The sequence below is a fragment of the Homo sapiens genome, chromosome 11, assembly GCF_000001405.40.
Source record: "Homo sapiens chromosome 11, GRCh38.p14 Primary Assembly".
Classification (NCBI taxonomy): domain Eukaryota; kingdom Metazoa; phylum Chordata; class Mammalia; order Primates; family Hominidae; genus Homo; species Homo sapiens.
The window spans coordinates 65,653,474-65,673,842 of NC_000011.10; the positions used below are offsets into that span (position 1 = coordinate 65,653,474).

Consider the following 20,369-nt stretch of genomic DNA (forward strand, 5'->3'; position numbering starts at 1 on the left):
CATTCTCAGACTGCAAGCTCTCAGAGGACAGTGCACGCATTCACCCAGCTCTCTACCACCAATGTCTGGCCTGATGTGACTAGCAAAATGTGTGCTCAGTGTTTGCTGAAAAAAAGCGGATCTCTAGCCAGCTTGGCAACAGATTTATTAGTTCAGAGTAGAAAGAGCAAGAGTCCAAGTGCTTTGATTGTTCAGTAAAAACTATGCCTCCTGACTGGAGAGCTGCCAGCCTGCTCTCCCCCACTCTTAACAACTTACCCTACTATTAAGGCACTTGAGAAGAGGGAGAGCAAGGAAGTCCCAGACCAAACCCCTTCTGGATCCTGGAGAGAGCCAGTGCTGTTGCACTGGTTTCCTTCAGCCATGGTTGAGCAAGGAAAGAGCCGGCAGAGACCTCTGTAGGGCAGGAAGGCCAGCCCCTCAAACGCTGGTGTTAGGCACAGGGACAATGCCAGTGCCATACAGGGGCTGGTATCTGGGGCGTTATTTTGATTAAGCTGTAATGAATCCATGATGGAAGACACTTGATAAGGCTTTGTGGGCTCAAAGGCCTTACCTCCAGCCTGCTTCTGTCTCTAGGAGAGTACCAGAAGCTGGAGGATGGGGATGGGGGACCCCAGAGTTCCCTACAGAGAAGGGAGCTGACCATCAGGACAGGGGAAAAGTTTGAGTTTCCCCAGCTCCCCCCTTTCCAGAGAAGTTAATGCTTCTGCTTAAGCACCTCCAAAAAGAGAGAGAGATACAGATACTGACAATAAAAGAATAAAATATGGCTCCCCCCTCCAAGGAAGACATCCACAAAGTTGGGGGCAGTTGGAACACACCCCACCAGAATCCGTAAGTGCTTTTGGAGGGCTTCAATCCCCTGCAACCCAGTGCTCTGGGGAGGGCAGGCGTCACCCCCTTAGGAGCTGATCTGACTCAGCAGGGCTGAGAAGTCCATGTCCGCAATGGAGGAGAAGTCTTCATCTCCTGAAAGGAGGCCATTGGGGAGCCCCGGGGCCCCCAGTGGAGCAGGAGCTGGGTCGGGGGGCCTCTGGGCCCCTGTCACTAGGCGAGTTATAGCCTCAGGGTACTCCATCAGCATGGGCTCAGTTGTGTGGGGGGCCACAGGTATGCCCTGGTTCAGCAGCTGCTGAAACTCGGAGTTGTCGACGGATGCCAGGTCTGTGAACACAGCTGGGTCTGTGCTGTTGCCAAGCAAGGCCCCCAGGTCTTCATCATCAAACTGCAGCTGCAGCAGGGCCTCTGACAGCGTTCCTTCCCCAGCCTGGGTGGGCTTGGGGGCAGGTGGGGCCACAGCCTGAGGAGGGCCTGGGGCTAGGACTGGGACAGGGGCTGGGGCCTGGGCCAGAGCTGATACCATGGCTGGAGCAGGGGCAGGGGCTGGAGCCTGGGGCAGGACTTGGGGAGGGGCCGGGGCCAAGGCCGAGGCCTGGCTGATCTGCCCAGAAGGAAACACCATGGTGGGAAACTCATCATAGTTGATGGTGCTCAGGGATGACGTAAAGGGATAGGGCTGGGGTGCTGGAGGAGAGAGACAGAGAGGCAGGGGTCAGAGAAAGCCCTAGAGATCCACCCCGTCCTCTGTACCCCAGCCCCTCTTCATGGTGCTCAGGCTCAATCCCTCTCTAGGGAGTCACTGCCAACACCCTATCTCCTTCCTCTTACCCCATCTGACCCAGCCTGTAGGGTCCAGTTCTAGCCACACCTCCACCTTGGAGTCCTCCCTGACTACTCAAGCCCACGAAACTCTTCCAGCCTTTTAGAGGAAGGGACACTTGGAGAGATAAGCTGGACTCCTCAGTTTACAGCTGAAAAACTAAGTCCTGAGAGGCAATGAGCCCATGGAGCACCAAGTGAGCAGCGGCCTGAAGTGCAGAGCTTGTCAGTTTTTGAGCCTCGCACAGGCACACACATCTTGCTAATTTAGAGGTGATTTTTGTTCCCCCAATTCAAGTGAGAGATGAGAGCAGAGATTCTGCATTTTTAACTTCTGATTCCCAAGATACCCAATATAGAATTTAAGTGGCACGGTGGTTCCCAGGCTTCAGTGTGCATTAGCATCCCAGGAAGTCGCTGGTTCCTGCGCCATCCTTTCAAAGCCTCTGATTCAGTAGGTCTGTAATGGGGCCCAGGAGTCTTCATCTCCACTGCTCCTCAGCTGAACAGAGCTGAACCTGTCGTTCCAGTGGGACAAAAGGAAATCCTTACCTGGCTTGGGGACAGAAGCTGAGCTGCGGGAAGGCACAGCAATGCGTCGAGGTGGAGGCCGGGGGTCGGTGGGTCCTGTAGGGCAAGGGCTAGGTCAGTTCTCAGCCCCAGGGTGTCCCCTCCCTGCCCGCTGCCTTCCTCTCTGGCTTTCCCAGTCCCCATCTCACCGCTGAAAGGACTCTTCTTCATGATGCTCTTGAAGGTCTCATATGTCCTTTTACGTTTCTCCTCAATCCGGTGACGATCGTCTGGGAAAGTAAGGGGGAGAAGTGGGACTTGCTCTCCTCAGGTGGGTCCCCGACGCTCTCAAAGGTCCCTCAGGAGGAAGGGGAGGAGCCAGGCTTTCCCAAGACCCATTCTCCCAACCTTCTCTGCCAATGAGAAGGGATGTGTGACACTCAGCAGTTCTGAGAATCCCACAGCTTTTGGAGGCCTCTGTTGGCTGAATCTGCCCCTCTAAGACCACATGGTGAGGCCGAGTACAGGGGCCATGCTCTGGGCAAAGAGGAGACCTGGGGGGCCCCAGCCTCCAGCTCACACCTTCCTGCACTGCTCACATCCTGGCTCATTGTCAGCCTCCACCCAGGCCTGGCGAGAATTTCTTGGCACTCTGGGGCAGCTGAGGCACAACTGCCTTAAGACTTCAGCAGAGACTCTTATTCTTATCTCTAATGGTTTCATATTTTAGTCAGAGCTTTCAGAACTGTCTTTCTAATTACAGTGGTATTTCAGTAGCTCCAAAGCACTTCAATTCCATCAATTCAAAGACAACCTCATCATCCCTCAAAAACTAGGTTCTTTCTCCTGCATTCCCTGACCATCCGCCATCTGCCCTGTCACCAAAGCTAGAAACCTTGGAATGATTATCTTCTTTTCTCTCACTCCCCGCCAGTAACTTGACATATATTTATCAAGCACCTACTATGTGCCAGCCTCCCTTCTAGACACTGGGGATGTGGCCGTGAGTATGCACACAAGGTGTCTGCTCCCAAAAAGTTGGCATCCTAGTGAAAAAGTGAGAGGGACACAATCATATATACAAACCAGAAAATCTCGGCCAGGCGTGGTGGCTCACGCCTGTAATCCCAGCACTTTGGGAGGTCGAGGCGGGTGGATCACGAGGTCAAGAGATCGAGACCACCCTGGCCAACATGGTGAAAACCCCGTCTCTACTAAAAATACAAAAAATTAGCCGGATGTGGTGGCGGGCGCCTGTAGTCCCAGCTACTCGGGAGGCTGAGGCAGGGAGAATCACTTGAACCCGGGAGGTGGAGGTTGCAGTGAGCCGAGATTGCACCACTGCACTCCAGCCTGGGCGACAAGAGTGAGACTCTGTCTCAAACAAACAAACAAAACCAAACCAGAAAATCTCAAGTGACGGTGGTCCAGGGACGATATGGTGATGTAACAATACTGGAAGTGAGGTCAGGACAGTCTAAATGTAGAGGGAAGGGCTAATTTAGAGGTCAGGGAAGGACTGGCATGAGCCACTTGCATTAAAACCTTGGGCATTCCAAGCAGAGGCAACAGCTAGACACAGGTCCTGAGGTGAGACTGAGCTTGGTCTGTAAGACGCAAAACGGCTGCAGGGCTGAAGGGTAACTGAGGACAGTGGTGGAGATGTGATCTTGCTCTGCTATTCCTTCTGTAAGGTTTGTGCCGCATCTTCTCTTCCTGGACTACAGCAACATTTCCAGAATGGCCTCCCTGCTTTGAGTCTGTCTGTCTCTGATCTTCTACACGTGGCCTCCTGAGTCAACTTCCAAATCTGCTCCTGTCACCTCTCTGCTTAGAGGCCTTCAGCTTAACCAGGCCCTCCAATCTCTGAGCCTGCTCACTGCCCAACATCAGCTCAAACCACGAAGGTGGCCCTGAATAGGCCGTGCAGTTGCCAACACCCCTTCCCTTCCAGGTGCTGGGCCACCTGCCTGGAGAACACACTTCTGTGTCTTTCTCCAGCTTCAATGCCACCTTCTCCATGCAGCTGTCTCCAGCTCCCCGGAGGCCACTGTGCCCCCGTGCTTCTCTGCGCACACCTCCATTTCACATGTCATTCCGTGACTTAAGGATCTGTTTTGCACATTTGTCTTCCTCAAGTGACTGAGACTCTGAAGGGCAGGGAGCATGTCTTACTCATTTTTTGTATTCACAATACCTGGCACAGGCCCTGGTACCAAGTGGACACTCAAACCTCGACCAAAATGTGGCTGGGCTGTATGGTAGTGACAAGACAACCAGTGTGGCAAAAGGATCCTGAAGCCAGATGGCCTGGGTTCCAACGCTGACTCTGCTAGACTCTGCTACTTACTAGCCACGTGAACCCAGGCAAGTTGGACACTATCTCCTACTTCAAAAGGGTCATGAGATTAAAATCAGGTAATCCAGTGAAGTGCCTGGAATAGGGGCAGATGTGTAGTACTAGCTCAATGTCTGAGGTATCATTATTATTAAATGAGGCAAGAAATGGATTCCAGTTTCTTGGATCCCAAGCTCTGACTCCAGCTTCTGGCCCTCAACCACAGCCCCAGACATGCAGTCTTGGCCTCTCTCTCACGGCACAGAGCCCAGCTGCCCTGATGCTGCCACCCCAGCTGTGTACCTGTATCTGGCAGGTACTGGAATTCCATGGGCTCACTGAGCTCCCGGTCGGAAGGCCGCCGCAGCTGCATGGAGACACGCACAGGAGCCTGCAGGCTGGGGTCTGCGTAGGGAGGGGTCCGGAACACAATGGCCACTTGTCGGTGCACATCAGCTTGCGAAAAGGAGCCTCGGGCCTCCCAGCCTGGTCCCGTGAAATACACCTCAATGTCCTCTGCAGGAGATGCGGTGGCAGTGTGGGTCAGTGTGTCTAACCCTCCATGGTCTCCCCCTCAACTTCTGATGCTTGTCTTCTGATACATCACCCTTCGGCCCACCTGAGGCCCCCGAGGCACAGGAGGAAGTATCCAAAGCCAGTTACCTGACACTCCACTTCTCTGCTCAGCTTCACCCCTTGCTCCCAAGAGCCCACCCCTGCCTCCTGATGTATACCTTTCTGCACCTTGTCACACAGTAGGAAGATCTCATCCCCACCGAGGCAGCTGCCAGAGTTTCGGTTCACTCGGCAGATCTTGAGCTCGGCAGTGTTGGGGGCACCTGAGGCAGTGAAAACAAGGGAGGATGACCTGAGCCACGAGAGGTCCCCAGGGTGGCCTGCAGGAGATGCAACTTCCCTGCCCAGCCCAGAGTCAAGGTTGCCCAGAGCTTGCCACCTACACCTTTGTAGCCAAAGTCAGACCTTCTTATTAGCTCCTCACCCCAACCGATTCAACAAGTATTTGCCTACTGTGCACTCAACACTGATCTAAGCAAGAATACGACCACACACAAAACCCAAACCTCTCTGCTCTCCCGGAGCTTATAGTCCAGTGGGTGCCAATCTGATCACACTCTTTCTCCACCTGACCAAAGCAATCTTTAAGGCCAGTCCATACCCACCTTGGCAATGAGCCCTTCCCTCCTGACCCCCAGTTTATCCTGGTTTCCCATCCTTGGGGCTCCAGATTCGTTTTATTTCCATTCATCCTGCTGGTTACTTAACTAAAGACTGCAGCTGATCAGTCAGCCCAATTCATCTGTGGGCTTCCATCACTGAATCATCATTCTCGAACACTATCTTGTTCCTGGGAGTTCATTTCCTAGAGTCATTATCGCAGTTGTGGGCACACCACCTTCTCATCACACAATACTGAAAATGCCCATCTCCCATCAGACTCTCTGCTAGACTTCCTGCCAGGCCAGAGCTACACCTCAAGGACAGCTCTGGGTCTTCTTTGCCCTCTCTCCCCAGCCAACAAAGAGCTGGGCAGAGAAGAGTAGACAAATACGCAAGATGATTGAATGAAGCCAGAGCGCCTCTTGCAGGCCACACTCACCCCAACCCCCTTCCTCCTATTCAGGCCCACCCTCTCCCCTTCCTGCGTCTCCCTCGCTACTCACGATTGTCAAAGATGGGATGAGAAAGGACAGGCGGCAGGCGGAGGGGCCTGCCTGATGGGTCCCGCACTGTCACCTGGAAGCAGAGCCGCACAGCATTCAGGTCGTAGTCCCCACGCTGCTCTTCTATAGGAACTGCCAAGAAAACAGGCGATCAGGAGAGCAGGGGAAGTGGGGATATAGGTGCTATCAGTGGGGGCAGGGAGCTCTGCGCTGGGAGGGCCGCTGGTGCGTGTGTGAAACACAAGTCCTAGAGGAGGCAGAACCCAGCACTGACTCCACTGTGGCCTGAATGTCATGTCCCCTCCTGGGACTCAGTTTCCCAGTGGTAAAGTGGGAGAGTACTGAATGGGCACCAAGATTCCAGCTTTACTGTGTCTTGGCCAGTGAGGGAGATGCAGGAAAGGCGGGCTGGGGAGGGTGACAGAGGGTGCGGGTGTGGCAGGCAGGTTTGCCCTCACCTTGGAAGGGGTTGTTGTTGGTCTGGATGCGCTGACTGATAGCCTGCTCCAGGTCCCGCTTCTTCACACACTGGATTCCCAGGTTCTGGAAACTGAGCGCCCCCAGTCGTCTGTCCCACTGTCTCTCACAGAGCCCAGACCTTCCTGCCTTGCCCAGCCTGCTCCTTCCTACTCTGCCCACCCCTAGATCATCGCTCCATGCCTAACCCTCTCCAGTGGCTTCCTACTGTGCTGCAACGAACCCTGTCCCTTCACTCAGCTGACAAGCACCTCCGTGCCCCTGCCCCTGCCAGCCTCCCTGTGGGCTCCCTGCTTACAGCCACCGGGGCTCCTTTTCCACTCTCTAAACACAGGACACTCATTCCCACCTCAAGGCCTTTGCACTTGTTTGGTCGGCTTGGAATGTTCTTTTCCTACTTCTCTCCTCCTTCTCACCATTCAAGTCTTAGCTGAGGGAGGCCTTCCCTGACCTCCCAATCTAAAGTCATCACACACCAGCTCCCCTAACTCCCCCACCCCAGGTTATCCTTCTATCCTATGACCTCGTTTTATTTTCAGGACTGAAACTGTTACTCTGACAGCACCTTGTTTATTTATCTGTGTATTTATTTATTTTTAAGAGACACAGTGTCGGGCCGGGTGCGGTGGCTCAAGCCTGTAATCCCAGCACTTTGGGAGGCCAAGACAGGCAGATCACAAGGTCAGGAGATTGAGACCATCCTGGCTAACACGGTGAAACCCTGTCTCTACTAAAAAATACAAAAAATTAGCCAGGCGTGGTGGCAGGCACCTGTAGTCCCAGCTATTCGGGAAGCTGAGGCAGGAGAATGGCATGAACCCGGAAGGTGGAGGTTGCAGTGAGCTGAGATCGCGCCACTGCACTCCAGTCTGGGGACAGAGCAAGACTCTTTCTTAAAAAAAAAAAAAAAAAAAAAAAGACAAGGTATCGCCCTGCCACCCAAGTGCAGTGGTGCAATCATAGCTTGCCGCAGCAGTGACCTCCTGGGCTCAGGCGATCCTCCCACCTCAGCCTCCCTGGGACTATAGGCGCATGCCACCATACCCAGCTAATTTCTTATTTTTTGTAGACATGGGGTCTCACTATGTTGCCTTGGCTAGTCTTGAATTCCTAGGCTCAAGAGATCTTCCTGCCTTGGCCTCCCGAAGTGCTAGGATTATAAGCATGAGCCACTATGCCCGGCCTGTATATTTTTTTACAGCCTGTCTCTGTCAACTGCAATGTCAACTCCAGGGGAGAGTGCTGGTTCAATGGTTTTCTTCCTCAAACAAGAGACGTGACTCTGAGGGACTTGTCCTTCCAGCTACAGGGGTCAGGAATTCAGAAGTGATTAGGGACCCATCCGTATCCCCTGGAACTCATCTGCTAGAGTAAACGTACAAATAGATAATTTCAAGACAAAGGCAGTTTACTTGCAGAGCTGAGTCAGGGCAAGGAGTGAGGAATTCTGCCCTGGGTCCAGAAAGGAGTAACACTGTAGCGGCTACTTCATAGCCCGCCTCCTGTCCCCTCATGCTGGGCCTCCTAGCCTGCAGGGACCTCACCTGTGGATGCAGCGGTCCGGGCAGAGCTCAGCCTCATAGAAGCCATCCCGGCAGTCCTTTCCTACAAGCTCGTGGGGGTGAGGCCGGTGAGGAGGGTCCTTGGTGACCAGGGAGATGCGCACTGTCCCTGGTCCTGTGTAGCCATTGATCTGTCCAAAGTACAGAGGCCCAGACATCCAAACCTGACTCCCAAACACAGAGGGCTGGGGTTCCACAGTCCCTTCCCCGCACACCCTGGCGCAGTGCTGACCTTGATGGTGGGGTGGGTCTTGGTGGTATCTGTGCTCCTCTCGCCTGGGATGCTGCCCGCGGAGCGCCCCTCGCACTTGTAGCGGAAGCGCATGCCCCGCTGCTTGGGCTGCTCAATGATCTCCACATAGGGGCCAGAGGCCTGGGCTGGCTCTGCCAGGGGACACCGCAGCCCCATTAGGCGGCTGCCCCCACTGCCCTACCCCAGGGAGCACCTCCCCGACCGCCGCGGGGGCCACTTACCTGCCGGGAAGATGAGGGGGAACAGTTCTGAAAGGGGAGGGAGATCAGGGTCAGCACACACCCAATGCCCATTCTCACAAGGAGGAATCTGCTCTCCACGGAGAGGAGAAGCCAGGCTCCCTCCCAGGGGAACTGAGTCAGGACCTGCTCCCTAGAACCTGCGGTGAAACTAAGGGGTGGAGGAAAGGAACCAGAAACACCTGCTTCTTGAGGGAAAACGGGGTAAGGAATCCTTCTTCTCCAGAGGGAAGCTGAATCAGGGCCTGTTGTACTTTCTTAAGGAAAATTGAGGGAGGGCACGCCCCACCTCCCTCCAGAGAGGAAACTGAATCAGATGCGTTCTCCCCTAATAGGGAAACGAAGCCAGAGCTGCCCCCATGGACGGTGTGGAGGGAAACTGAGTCAAGGTTCCCTCTGCTCCCCCACCCAGGGAGGATGCTGAGTCAAGGGCCACCCCCTCCACCCAGAGGGGAAACTGAGTCAGACCCCTCCCCGCCTGCCCCGCCCCGCGCCACCATCCGGCAGGCCGACCGCTCCCTGCGCAGCGCCCGTCGGCGCAGGAAGGGGCGGAAAGCGGCGCGGGGGCTCCCGCCACAGCCGCGGCGGCCCCGGCGATGCCACCCCGCGGGGTCAGAGGGCGACCTCACCGTCCATGGCCGGGGTCCCGGGGGCGGGGCCGGGGTCGCAGCTGGGCCCGCGGCGTGCACTACAGACGAGCCATTCGCCAGAGGCGGAAATGCGCCGCGCGGCCCGCCGTCGCGTCACTGCCCGGAATCCGGCCGCGCCTGCGCGCTGCCCCGCCGCCGCCCGGCGCAGGGGCCGGGAGCAAGTGCACGCCGCGCGGAGGACGAAGAGGCTGCACGCACAGCCGCTGCCGGGGGTCGGGGCCAAGTGCGCGCCTCGCCGAGGACGAAGAGGCTGGCGTGCCCGGTGGCTCGGCTAGCTCCCGGGTCCCGGCCCCGCCTGGAGGGTGGGTCCGCCGATTACTCACTTTGTTTTTAGGGGATTTCAGGGCCCCCTCCCGCCGATCGGCGGAGTTTGGTGATGTCACTCTGGGCCGGGTCTGGAGCAAAGCCAGGGCTACTGGGCTGCGGCCGCCCGCCCCGCGCAGGGAAAAGCCCGACCGGGCCTTCTGCTCCGCAGAGGCCGGGTGGTTGAACTCCGCGCGGGTTTCCTAACCGCTAAAGGTGCCTTTCGGTGGTGGCTGTCTCAGAAGCACGTTAAAATGTCCTACCCACCCCAATCTAGATGCGGCTGTGGGGGAATGGGAGCGGCCGGACCTCCCAGCCTGACAGTGCATCAAGAGCTTTGCGGAGCCTACAGCCCGGATGGGACGACTGAGGCCCTCCCGCTGGCGAGCTGGCCGAGGGCTCGTCCCTCTCCAGCTAAAGCGCCAGCTTACGATACAGCCAAACTGCCGGCTCTCATCGGCTGTGGGAGCAGGAGGCCCCCAGGGGTAAATCCCGGAGCCTCGTCTCTGAAGCCTGGCGCTTGTGTCTCAGAAGGTGCGGGACCCACAGGGACACTTGAATCAGCAGGCTCACGACCCCCCACCCCCCTGCCCCCGCCTGTGTTTGCCCTGGACCTCCAGCTAGGGCTGACCACTAATTCTGTCATGTGACCCCACAGTGCAGGTAGCTCCCCCAAGACCAAGCCCAAGGCGCGTCCGTGTGGAGGCTGGGGCTGACGCACCCCCACCCCAGGCCTCATCCCCAAAGGAGGATGCTCCACTGCAGGGGGCGGAGTCTTCTCCAGATGGAGAAAGACTTTTTTATTTTCTCTGAATTCGTCTTAAATTAGGAAATCATGTGGGAATTGGAAAAGATTGGAAATTCTGACTTGTTTCCCAGGCTCTGAAGAAACAGGAAGAGAAAAGTGAAAATAGAGTTAGCACCCCGCCCACTCATTTCAGTTTCTCCAGTGGCTGGCCCTGATTAGAAAAGTGTTTACTTTTGGCAGGGGGCGGGGGAGGCCGACTTCAGGTGACAGAATGGATTAATTAAAATCTTTGGTTAATGATATACAATTATCATTGAACCTTGCATGGATCCTCTTCTTAAAATTCATGTATATTTATAACTTTTAAATTAATACGATAAACACCCATGTACCCATTGCAAAACTCAAGGGGCCACCACCATCCAGAATTCTGTATTGTATTGTATTGTATTGTATTGTATTGTATTGTATTGTATTGTATTTATTTATTTATTTATTTTTTGAGACACGGTCTGTCTCTGTCGCCCAGGCTGGAGTGCAGTGGCACAATCTCTGCTCACTGCAGCCTCTACCTCCTGGGCTCAAGCAATCCTCCCACTTCAGCCTCTTGCATAGCTGGGACTACGGGAGCACACCACCATGCCCGGCTAAGTTTTTGTATTTTTTGTAAAGAAGTGGTTTAACCTTGTTGTCCAGGCTAGTCTTGAACTCCTGAGCTCAACTTTCCTCCCCGCTTGGCCTCACAAAGTGCTGGGATTACAGGCGTGAGCCACCACGCTGGGCCAGAATTCTGTATTTTTTAAATTAATTAATTAATTAATTTATTGTAAATAGAGATGGGTCTCACTGTGTTGCCCAGGCTGGTCTCAAACTCCTGGGCTCAAGCGATCCTCCCACCTCAGCCTCCCAAAGTGGGATTACAGGCATGAGCCACCACACCTGGCCCAGAATTCTGTATTTTAAAGAAAAAAAAAGTTATATCTGCATGCCTACACAATATATCTTTTGGTTTTCCTTAGTTTTGAACTTTTTTTTTTTTTTTTTTGAGACAAAGTCTCACTCTGTCGCGCAGGCTGGAATGCAGTGGCATTCTGCTTACTGCAACCTCTGCCTCCTAGGTTCAAGCGATTCTCCTGCCTCAGCCTCCTGAGTAGCTGGGATTAAAGGGGCCAACCACCACGCCCAGCTAATTTTTGTATTTTTTTAGTAGAGACGGGGTTTCACCATGTTGGCCAGGCTGGTCTCGAACTCCTGACCTCAGGTGATTCGCCAGCCTCTGCCTCCCAAAGTGCTGAGATTACAGGTGTGAGCCACCGCACCCAGCCAGTTTTGAACTTTTATGAAGAGGGCATCATATGATTTGTTGTCCTTTGTTACTTGCTTTTTTCACTCAACCTGTTACTATGATTCATGTTTCACAGTTAATTCACTTTTTCACTGCTGTATACTATTTTGTTGTGTAAATATACCACAGTTTGTTTATTCATCCTGAAGATAGGCATTTTTATTTTTATTTTTTTGAGATGGAGTTCCTCTCTTGTGGCCCAGGCTGGAGTGCAATAGCACCATCTCGGCTCACTGCAACCTCTGCCTCCCAGGTTCAAGTGATTCTCCTGCCTTAGCCTCCTGAGTAGCTAGGATTACAGGTATGCATCACCATGCCCGGCTAATTTTGTATTTTTTTTTTCTTTTGAGACAGAGTTTCGCTCTTGTTGTGTGCAATGGCACAATCTCGGCTCACAGCAACCTCTGCCTCCCAGGTTCAAGTGATTCTCCTGCCTCAGCCACCTGAGTAGCTGGGATTACAGGTGCCTGCCACCATGCCTGGCTAACTTTTTGTATTTTTAGTAGAGACGGGGTTTCACCATGTTGGCCAGGCTGGTCTCAAACTCCTGACCTTAGGTGATCCACCTGCCTCAGCCTCTGAAAATGTTGGGATTACAGGCATGAACCACTGCATCTGACTAATTTTGTACTTTTAGTAGAGACAGGGTTTCACCATGTTGGCCAGGGTGGTCTCTAACTCCTGACCTCAGGTGATCTGCCCGTCTCGGCCTCCTAAAGTGCTATTACAGGCGTGAGCTACCGTGCCCAGCCATGGGCATTTGGACTTCTAATTTTTTGCTGCCATAAGCTTTAGAGCACTGAGTAATATATAAAAACAGCAATCATGTAGTTTTTAAAACTTAGTCTGGGGTTAAAGAAGTATGTAAACAACTATGTTTTCTTAAAGATTTATAGGAGCATTGTGACTGGACCAAGGACAAAGAAGTTCCCAACCTCCTCAGACCCTCGCTGCTGCCCAGATGTCTGCCATGGGGTACTTCTTGACCACACCCTCCTTCTCTTCCCTGCCCTTAACATAGAAAGAGCCTAAGATTGTACTGACTTAAAATGGTACTTTAGAACGCTAGTACACCGTCCTCTCAGTCTTGCTGGCTTTCAGAATAAATCAGTAAACCTACTTTTTCTCCCACCAACGCCCCTATCAGTTGGGATCCTCTTACCTCGGCCTCCCAGGTAGCTGGGACTATAAGCACTCACCACCACACACAGCTAATTAAAAAGAAAACAATTTTTTGAGGCAGGGTCTCACTCTGTCGCCATGCTGGAATGCTGTGGCATGACTCGTTGCTCACTGCAGCCTCAAACTCCTGGGCTCAAGCAATCCTCCCACCTTAGCCTCCCAAGTAGCTAGGACTAACAGCGTGCACCACCACACTCAGCTAATTTCTTTTTTTTAATTTTTAGTAGACACAAGATCTTGCTATGTTGCCAAGGCTGGTCTCGAACCTCTGAGCTCAGGCGATCCTTCTGTCTCAGCCTCCCAAAGTGTTAGGATTACAGGCATGAACTACCAAACCCGGCTGAGTTTTTTAAAATCTTAATGAATGCATGGATTTAAATATATTAGCTGTGTTTTAATCAAGTATAGTTATTGAAATTCAAATTATTCGTCTTTGGTTAGGGAGAACTTCTTCAAGTTGGTTGTTCTTCAGTCCTTTTGACACAATTCCAATATATGAGTCTTGGTGGCTCATACCTGTAATCCCAGCACTTTGGAAGGCTGAATGGGGAAGACTGATTGAGGCCAGGAGTTTAAGACCAGCCTGGTCAACATGGCAAGATCCCTATGTCTATTAAAAAAATAATTTTAAAAAAGCAATTACAGTAGCCTGTGATAGCTTCTTTGCTGTTTGGTATGAAAAGATATTTCTTTTCTTTTTCCTTTTTTTTTTTTGAGATGGAGTTTCGCTCTTACTGCCCAGGCTGGAGTGCAATGGTGCAATCTCGGCTCACTGCAACCTCTGCCTCCCGGGTGCAAGCAATTCTCCTGCCTCAGCCTCCCAAGTAGCTGGGATTATGGGAGTGTGCCACCACGCCCAGCTAATTTTTGTATTTTTAGTAGAGATGGGGTTTCCATATTGGTCAGGTTGGTCTCGAACTCCTGACCTCAGGTGATCCACCTGCCTTGGCCTCCCACAGTGCTGGGATTACAGGCATGAGCCACAGCGCCTGGCCTGAAAAGATATTTCTAGACTCATCTAGTAAATTTTCTGCCCCAGATCTGGAATCAGACAGCTTTCCAAGGAGTCCTGATTTCTCTTAGTAGGAAATGATATTTAAAGACTACAGCTTGAGTACTTCGGATACTTATTGCTACTGAGTCAGTCATTGTAGATGTTTTCGGTGAATAGTTAGTACTTTTTTTTTTTTTTTTTTTTTTTGAGACAGAGTTTCACTCTTGTTGCCCAGGCTGGAGTGCAATGGCATGATCTTGGCTCACTGCAACCTCCGCCTCCCGGGTTCAAGTGATTCTCCTGCCTCAGCCTCCCGAGTTGCTGGGATTACAGGCATGCGCTACCACGCCCGGCTAATTTTGTATTGTTAGTAAAGACAGGGTTTCTCCATGTTGGTCAGGCTGGTCTCCAACTCCTGACCTCAAGTGACCTGCCCGCCTCGGCCTCCCAAAGTGTTGGAATTACAGGCGTGAGCCACCATGCCCAGCCAGTAATTTTTTAAAAAATGGGAGTCTTGCTCTGTCATCCAGGCTGGATTGCAGTGGTGGTGTGATCATAGCCCATTGCAGGCTCGAACTCCTAGGCTCAAGTGATTCTCCCTCCTCAGGTCCCCCAGTAGCTGGGACTACAGGCACACACCACCATGCTCAGCTAATTTTTTATTTTTTAGTAGAGAAGAGGTCTCACTATGTTGCCCAGGCTCATCTTGTACTCCTGGGCTCTAGCACTCCTCTTGCCTCAGCTTCCCAAAGTGTTGGAATTACAGGCATGAGCCATTGTGCCCAGCCTAGCTGGTAATTTTTTTTTTTGAGATGGAGTCTTGCTCATTCGCCAGGCTGGAGTGCAGTGGCGCGATCTCGGCTCACTGCAACCTCTGCCTCCCAGGTTCAAGCAATTCCCCTGCCTCAGCCTGCTGAGTAGCTGGGACTACAGGCACGCGCCACCACACCCTGCTAATTTTTTTGTATTTTAGTAGAGACGGGGTTTCACCATGTTGGCCAGGATGGTCTCGATCTCCTGTCCTGACCTTGTCATCTGCCTGCCTTGGCCTCCCAAAGTGCTGGAATTACAGGCGTGAGCTACCGCACCTGGCTGTAATTTTTTTTAAATACGAAATGCATCAGGAGTTCATACTAATGTTTCATATTCAAATTTAGAATTATAGGGTTTTTAAATTTTATTTATTTATTATTATTATTTTTTTTTGAGATGGAGTCTTGCTCTGTTGCCCAGGCTCACTGTAACCTCTGCCTTGTGGGTTCAAGCAGTTCTCTGCCTCAGCCTCCTGAGTAGCTGGAATTACAGGCACCTGCCACAATGCCTGGCTAATTTTTATATTTTTAGTAGAGACGGGGTTTCACCATCTTGGCCAGGCTGGTTTTACACTCCTGACCTCGTGATCCACGTGCCTCAGCCTCCCAAAGTGCAGGGATTACGGGTGTGAGCCACCGCGCCCAGCTAGAATTACAGGGTTTTAACTTAACCTTAGTCACTTTACATGTTTCTCCCATGTCAAAAATCTTGATTTTCTTTTGAGGGAATAGAAAAGTCCACTCTTAAATTAAGTCCATATGGAGTCTCAAGGGACCCAAATAACCAAAACAATCTTAAAAAAAAGAAACAAAGGTGGAGGACTCATACTTCCTGATTTCAAAACTTACTACAAAGCTACAGTAATCAAAACAGTGTGATTCTAGCATAAAGACAGACATATAGGCCGGGCGTGGTGGCTCACGTCTGTAATCCCAGCACTTTGGGAGGCTGAGGCAGGAGTTCAAGACCAGCCTAACTAACATGGAGAAACCCCGTCTCTACTAAAAATACAAAATTAGCCGGGCATGGTGGCCCATGCCTGAAATTACAGCTACTTGGGAGGCTGAGGCAGGAGAATCGCTTGAACCCGGGAGGTGGAGATTGCAGTGAGCCGAGATTGAGCCATTACACTCCAGCCTGAGCAACAAGAGTGAAACTCTGTCTCCAAAAAAAATAAAGACAGACATATGACCAATTGTACAGAATAGGGAGCCCATAAAAATAAAACCTTTCCATATACGGCTGAATGATTTTCAACAAGGGCGCCAAGACCATTCACTGGGGGAAAGGACAATCTTTTCAACAAATGGTTTTGGGAAAATTGGGTATCCACATGCAAAAGAATGAAGTTGACCCTTACCTAACACTATATACAAAAATTAACTCAAAATGGTTCAAATGGCTGGACCTGGTGACTCACATCAGTAATTCCCGCACTTTGGGAAGCCAAGGCGGGAAGATCACTTGAGCCCAGGAGTTTGAAACCAGCCTGGTCAACATAGTGAGATCCTATCTCTACAAAAGAAAAAAAAAAAAAAGAAAAAAATTAGCTGGGCATGGTGGTGCATGCCTGTAGTCCCAGCTACTCAGGAGGTTGAGACGGATTGCTTGAGCCCAGGAGTTCGAGTTCACAGCAGTGAGCCATGCCACTGCACTCCAGCCTAAGCGACAGAGTGTGACGCTGTCTCAAAAAAATAAAGAACTGGGGCCGGGCGCGGTGGCTCACGCCTGTAATCCCAGCACTTTGGGAGGCTGAGGCGGGCGGATCACGAGGTCAGGAGATCGAGACCATCCTGGCTAAAACGGTGAAACCCTGTCTCTACTAAAAATACAAAAAAAAATTAGCCGGGCACGGTGGCAGGTGCCTGTAGTCCCAGCTAGTCAGGAGGCTGAGGCAGGAGAATGGCGTGAACCTGGGAGGTGGAGCTTGCAGTGAGCCGAGATCGCGCCACTGTACTCCAGCCTGGGCGACAAAGCGAGACTCTGTCTCAAAAAAAAAAATAAATAAAATAAAGAGCTAAAAAGGGACCAAATACCTAAATGTAGGACCTAAAACTATAAACTCAGAAAAAAACATAGTGCCCCATGTTTTTGATTGCTTATATGTTATTATTTACGTTTTTATTGTTTATATGTTATCATTTATGTTGTATAATATTCATGACATTGAATTTGGCAGTGATTTCTTGGATACAACATAAAAGCACAGACCACAAAAGAAAAAAATAAATTAGGCTTATAAAAATTAAAAACTTTTGTACATCAAATACAATATACTGAAGTAAAAAATCAACCCACAGAATGGTAGGAAATATTTCAAATTACATATCTGATAAGGATTAATACCTAGAACATATAAAGAACTAATAATAGGCCGGGCGCCGTGGCTCACGCCTGTAGTAATCCCAGCACTTTGGGAGGCCGAGGCGGGCGGATCACGAGATCAGGAGATCGAAACCATCCTGGCTAACACGGTGAAACCCCATCTCTACTAGAAATACAAAAAATTAGCCGGTCATGGTGGCGGGCACCTGTAGTCCCAGCTACTCGGGAGGCTGAGGCAGGAGAATGGTGTGAACCCGGGAGGCGGAGCTTGCAGTGAGCCGAGATCGCGCCACTGCACTCCAGCCTGGGCAACAGAACGAGACTCCATCTCAAAACAAAACAAAACAAAAAAACAACAAAAAAAAACACACAAAGAGATACCACTTCACACCCATTAGGATGGCTGTTATCAGAAAAATAAGGTAACAGCTGTTTGCTGAGAAATATGGAGATGTGGAGAACACGTGGAGAAATTGGCACACTTGTGAATTGCTGGTGGGAATGTAAAATGGTGCAGTCGCTCTGGAAAACAGTATGGCGGTTCCTCAAAAGAATTAAACCAGAATTAACACATGATCCAGAAATTTCATAGTACTCAAAACTACTGAAAGCAGGAACTCAAATTGATATCTGTACACCAGTGTTCATAGCGGCATTATTCACAATAGCCAAAAGGCGGAAACAACCCAAATGTCCATTGACGCATGACCAGTGTGATAGTTAATTTCATGTGTCAACTTGACCAGCCCAGGGAATACCCGGATAGCTGGTAGAAAATTATTTCTGGGTATGTCTGTGAGAGTGTTTCTGGAAGAGGTTAGTATTTGAATCAGACTGAGTAAAAGGATCCACCCTATCCAACATAGGTGGCCATCATCGAATCCACTGAGGGCGCAAATAGAACAAAAAGGTGAAGAAAAGGTGAATTCTCTCCTTTCTTGAGCTGGGACATCCAACTTCTCAGACATCAGAGCTCCTGGAGGCCTTCAGACTCCGAGACATTACACCATTGGCTCACCTGGTCCTCAGGTCTTTGGACTTGGAATGAATTACACCATTGGCTTTCCAGGTCTTCCAGCTTGCAGATGGCAGATTGTGGGACTTTTCAGCCTCCATAACTTTGTCATCCAATTCCCATAATAAATCGCCTCTTATATCTGTATCTGTTTGGTTCTGTTCTGGAGATCCCGGATTAATGCAAATGGATTAAAAAAATGCGGCCGGGCACGGTGGCTCATGCCTGTAATCCCAGCACTTTGGGAGGCCGAGGCAGGTGGATCACTTGAGGCCAGGAGTTCAAGACCAGCCTGGCCAACATGGTGAAACCCCACGAAACCCTGTCTCTACTAAAAAAAAAATACAAAATTAGCTGGGTGTGGTGGCGCACGCCTGTAATCCCAGCTACTTGGAGGGCTGAGGCAGGAGGATTGCGCGAACCCAGGAGACAGAGGTTGTAGTGAGCTGAGATCACACCACTGCACTCCAGCTTGGGTGACAGAGTGAGACTCCATCTCAAAAACAAAACAAAACAAAACCCCAAAATGTGGTATATACATGCAAGGGAATATTATTCAGCCTTAAGGAAGGGAATTCTGATACATGCTGTATTGAGGAGCCTTGAAGGCAACATGCTGAGTCAAAGAATCCAGACACAAAAGGACAAATGTTATATGATTCTACTTATGTGAGATACCTACAATAGTCAAATTCATAGAGAAAGGAAGTAGAATACCCATTACAAGAAGCTGGAGAGAAGGGGAAATGGTGAGTTAATGCTTAACAAATGCAGAGTTTATGTTGGGGATGATGAAAAGATTCTGGAGCAGGATGGTGGTGATTGATGGTAGCACACAGTGTGAATGTACTAAGTGCCATTCAGTGGCACACTTATAAATGGGTAACATGGTAGATTTTATGTTATATATATTTAACCACAATTTAAAAAATCTCAATTCTTTCTCTGTTTTTTTATTTAATTTTAGAAATGGGGTCTTGCTCTGTTGCCCAGGCTGATCTTGAACTCCTTGGCTCTGGGCTCAACCAGTCCTCCCACCTCAGCCTCCCAAAGTGCTGGGATTACAGATATGAGCTACTGCACCCAGCCTCAGTTCTCAGTGACACCAACCCATTACTCATTTGCTTTATCTCACACTGTATACAAAACAGTTTCAGAATAATGATACCAACTCTACCTCCATAATGATTTCTTTTTTCTTTTTTTATTTTTCATAAAACTTATGACTCAACATAATAAGATTTCTGAAAATATATTTTTGTAGTTCTTGTCCTTAGGTTATAGCCCACTAGGGATGATAGTCAGATAACTTTGTTTTGAATCTCTTTGAATAGTTAATCTCCATAAAGTTATACCAGCAAATTGATACATAGTTTTATTTTCCCTTTTTAGGAATTGCTTTTTAAAGTTTTATTTTTCTTCATAATGATGTGAAATATTATATCGTTCCAAAGTCAAATCTATATAACAAGATATATTAAAAGAAGTCTTGTTTCTATCCCTGTCCTCTCCAACCTGCTGTCTCCCTTCCCCTATAGGTAACTAATTTTTTTTTTTTGAGATGGGATCTTGCTCTGTTGCCCAGACTGGGGCAATAGTGCAATCATAGCTCACTGTAGCCCCAAACTTCTGGGCTCAAGGGATCCTCACCCTTCAGTCTTCAGAGGAGACTGAGGAGACTGAGGCCTGAGACTACAGGCACTCACTATAACACCCCACTAATTTTTTTATTTTTATTTTTATTTATTTATTTATTTATTTATTTATTTATTTATTTATTTGAGATGGAGTCTCGCTCTGTCACCCAGGCTGGAGTGCAGTGGCGTGATCTCAGCTCACTGCAAGCTCCGCCTCCCAGGTTCACGCCATTCTCCTGCCTCAGCCTCCTGAGTAGCTGGGACTACAGGTGCCCGCCACCATGCCTGGCTAATTTTTTATTTTTTATTTTTTTTTATTTTTAGTAGAGATGGGGTTTCACCGTGTTAGCCAAGATGGTCTCAATCTCCTGACCTTATGATCCACCCACCTCAGCCTCCCAAAGTGCTGGGATTACAGGCATGAGCCACCACGCCCAGCTAACACCCCACTAATCTTTTAAAAAAATTTTAGTAGAGATGAGGTCTCGCTTTGTTGCCGAGGCTGGTCTCAGACTCCTGGGCCCAAGTAATACTTCCACCTCGGCCTCCTCCCAAAGAGCTGAGATTACAGGTGTGAGCCACCACACTGAGACTGATAACCACTTTTTTCTTTTTTTTCCTTTTTCTTTTCTTT

The 20,369-nt window shown here is 50.3% G+C and overlaps 1 protein-coding gene and 1 long non-coding RNA gene across 13 annotated transcripts, besides 4 other annotated features; one reads left to right on the forward strand and one right to left on the reverse strand.

Moving 5' to 3' along the window:
- On the reverse strand, positions 128-10,384 carry RELA (RELA proto-oncogene, NF-kB subunit). Of its 12 annotated transcripts, NM_001243985.2 has the most exons (12): positions 9,353-9,443; positions 8,706-8,732; positions 8,464-8,615; positions 8,214-8,362; positions 6,651-6,742; positions 6,193-6,324; positions 5,245-5,349; positions 4,814-5,026; positions 2,382-2,462; positions 2,215-2,289; positions 1,346-1,527; positions 128-1,036 (listed from the first exon to the last, which is right to left on the reverse strand). In NM_001243985.2, the coding sequence occupies exons 1-12, from the start codon at positions 9,357-9,359 to the stop codon at positions 905-907; spliced, it is 1,347 nt and encodes a 448-aa protein (NP_001230914.1). In that variant the 5' UTR covers positions 9,360-9,443; the 3' UTR covers positions 128-904. The 12 variants fall into 12 exon arrangements, with proteins under 12 accessions (NP_001230914.1, NP_001391591.1, NP_001138610.1 ...); NM_001404662.1 differs by lacking the exon at positions 9,353-9,443 and adding an exon at positions 9,697-10,384 and having other exon boundaries at positions 128-1,527; NM_001145138.2 differs by having other exon boundaries at positions 128-1,527; positions 6,193-6,315.
- Positions 608-1,108: an enhancer, noted in NCBI's record as "H3K4me1 hESC enhancer chr11:65421552-65422052 (GRCh37/hg19 assembly coordinates)". NCBI's record gives its function as "activates a minimal SCP1, AML or CMV promoter by ChIP-STARR-seq in naive H9 embryonic stem cells {active_cell/tissue: H9 hESC(naive)}" and the evidence as "EXISTENCE:reporter gene assay evidence [ECO:0000049][PMID:30033119]".
- Positions 9,130-9,189: a silencer, noted in NCBI's record as "silent region_3549". NCBI's record gives its function as "represses an Ori minimal core promoter by ATAC-STARR-seq in GM12878 lymphoblastoid cells {active_cell/tissue: GM12878}" and the evidence as "EXISTENCE:reporter gene assay evidence [ECO:0000049][PMID:35858748]".
- Positions 9,250-9,659: a silencer, noted in NCBI's record as "silent region_3550". NCBI's record gives its function as "represses an Ori minimal core promoter by ATAC-STARR-seq in GM12878 lymphoblastoid cells {active_cell/tissue: GM12878}" and the evidence as "EXISTENCE:reporter gene assay evidence [ECO:0000049][PMID:35858748]".
- Positions 9,533-18,245, forward strand: RELA-DT (RELA divergent transcript). Its single transcript, NR_183625.1, has 4 exons — positions 9,533-9,675; positions 11,973-12,070; positions 12,658-12,744; positions 17,950-18,245. It is a non-coding gene; the product is annotated as an RELA divergent transcript (long non-coding RNA).
- Positions 9,750-9,949: an enhancer, noted in NCBI's record as "active region_5000". NCBI's record gives its function as "activates an Ori minimal core promoter by ATAC-STARR-seq in GM12878 lymphoblastoid cells {active_cell/tissue: GM12878}" and the evidence as "EXISTENCE:reporter gene assay evidence [ECO:0000049][PMID:35858748]".
- Positions 18,246-20,369: the final 2,124 nt, after the last annotated feature.

Excerpts from the sequence above, each read along its gene's own strand:
- RELA (NM_001404657.1), bottom strand. Across the intron at positions 2,463-4,813 it reads CCAGTACCTGCCAGATACAG|ACGATCGTCACCGGATTGAG; the intron begins GTACACAGCTGG and ends TTACTTTCCCAG. Across the intron at positions 1,528-2,214 it reads AGCTTCTGTCCCCAAGCCAG|CACCCCAGCCCTATCCCTTT; the intron begins GTAAGGATTTCC and ends TCTCTCCTCCAG.